We start from the raw sequence: 2,196 nt of genomic DNA on the forward strand, positions 1-2,196 counted from the left end.
ACGAACACATTGTACAGCTGTAAAAATTTTTCTTTATATCTTTATTCCATAAACTTTTTTTCTATTTTTAAAATTATTTATTTTCTACTTTCAAAACTTTTTGTTAAAAACAAAGACACAGACACACACATTAGCCTAGGCCTACTTAGGGTCAGAATCATCAACAGCGCTGTCTTCCACCTCCACATCTTGTCCCATTGAAAGGTCTTCAGGGGGCACTAACACGCATGGAGCTGTCATCTTCTGTGATAACAAGGCCTTCTTCTGGATACCTCCTGCAAGACCTGCCTGAGGCTGTTTTGTAGTGAACTTTGTAATAATTAGAATTATTATAAAAATTATTCATTCTAAAATAATGATAAAATTATAGTATAGTAAATATATAAACCATTAGCGTAGCTATTTATTGTCATTATCAAGTGTACAATTGTATTGTACACAATAGTATGTGCTAGACTTTTATATGACTGGCAGTACAGTAGGTTTGTTTACACCAGCATCACCACAAATGCATGAGTAATGTATTGCGCTAAAATGTTAATGAGGGCTAAAATGACACTAGATAATAAGAATTTTGAGGTCCATTATATTCTTATGGGACTACCTTGAGATATATATATATTTGTTGTTGTTTTGTTTTGAAAATTTCTTTTTTGGGAGGGCAGCAATTTTTGTTTTTTTTTCAAACTTAAATAAATTGTTACAAAATAGACTTTAGAAAAATAAGTTACAAATTGTAGCAAAAGGCTTCCTTCCACAGGCAACTTTCCCACCCATAGCACTCTGCATCCCGGCTCCCTCGTGTTGCAATCTGGCTGGTGAGGGTGGCCTGGCATCTCGGCAGAGGCGGGCACTGGGAAGAGTACGGTGACAAAGGCTGGGGGAAGGAGGTCCTTCAAGGACAGGGACGCGAAGAGCACACCACCCTCTTCTTGGGAAAGAAGCCAGATCTGGGTCCTCTTCACAAGGGGAGGGGAGAAGAGATGGGGAGCCCAAACTGCTCCTGAGAAAACGTGGAGATCAAGCCCCTCCCTGCACGCGCCCCCTCCCCCAGATTCTGATCTTTGGAAACTTGAAGTTCTGAGGGAGAAGCTGAGGTCTGCAGGCCACTGGGGTTAAGGGCCCAGAAGTGGGGTCGTGGGAGTGGGTGGAGGGGGCAATGACAAGTCCCCTCTGCCTGCCGCTGGTGCCACTGGGGCTCCAGAGCCTGCCACTGTCCTCTCCTCCTGGAGCTGCTGCTGGTGCTGCACGAAGCCGATTCTGTGGCAGAAGTGGCAGGGACCATGGGGGCAGGTGAAAGGCCCCTCCCGGGGTGGGGTGCGTGGACCCGCCCGTGGCCCTCCAGCCGGGCAGCTGACCGGAAGGCCTTGCCACAGATGCTGCAGTGGTGGTGCTTGCGGTTCGCGTGGATCCTGCTGTGGTTCTTAAAAGACAGCAGGTTGGGGGCAGCGGGAGCAGGGGTACAGCCCTGTGGTGTGGGTCTTCTGGTGTGTCAGCAGGCTGCCGGCTTGGCAGTAGAAGGGCCTGCACTGGGCGCAGCGGAAGGGCTGCTCCTTGTCCTCAGCTACTGTGGACGTCACCCCTTATCCTCTTCTAGCTCTCTCCGCACTCTCTCCTGGGCCTCCTGGTGTTTCTAATGGAGCCTCCCAGGGTTTCCCTTGACCACGGAGGCCCACCTCGTCCTCCCCAGTCCCGGGCTTGGGACATCTGGCCTCCTCGATCTGGGCCGGCACCTGGCTGTGGCCCCTGGCATGAGCCTGCAGAGGTGGCTGGCCAGTTTGTAGTGGGACTCAAAGGCCTTGCCACAGTCAGGGCAGGCAAAGGTCTGGGCATCTGTGTGGTTGTGGTTGTGGCTCTTCGTGGCCACAGGATTCAAGAACTCCTTGGATCAGAGCAGGCAATAGTGTTGGTCTGTCTTGTGAGTGTTGTGGTTCAAGAGGTCACCTGGCTGGCAGTAAGTCTCGCCACATTGGCTGCAGGAGGAGTGGCTCCCTGGCTGCAGCTGAGAGCTATTGTCTCCATTGATCCAGCTATCCATGTGACTCAGACTAGGTCCATTGAGCTGGCTGTCACTGGCATGCCAAGGACTCCTGGGGACACTGTCATCTGGCTCCTCTGGCCTGGTCAGGAACTGAGGAACCCAGCCTACATTGTGATTCCCCAGTCCCCCACCTCCTGGCCACCCACCTGTCCTTG

At 50.9% G+C, this 2,196-nt stretch overlaps 1 pseudogene; it reads right to left on the reverse strand.

Moving 5' to 3' along the window:
- Positions 1 to 883: 883 nt before the first annotated feature.
- On the reverse strand, positions 884 to 2,196 carry ZNF646P1 (zinc finger protein 646 pseudogene 1; annotated as a pseudogene).

This window comes from Homo sapiens, chromosome 13, assembly GCF_000001405.40.
Source record: "Homo sapiens chromosome 13, GRCh38.p14 Primary Assembly".
In the NCBI taxonomy this organism is placed as follows: domain Eukaryota; kingdom Metazoa; phylum Chordata; class Mammalia; order Primates; family Hominidae; genus Homo; species Homo sapiens.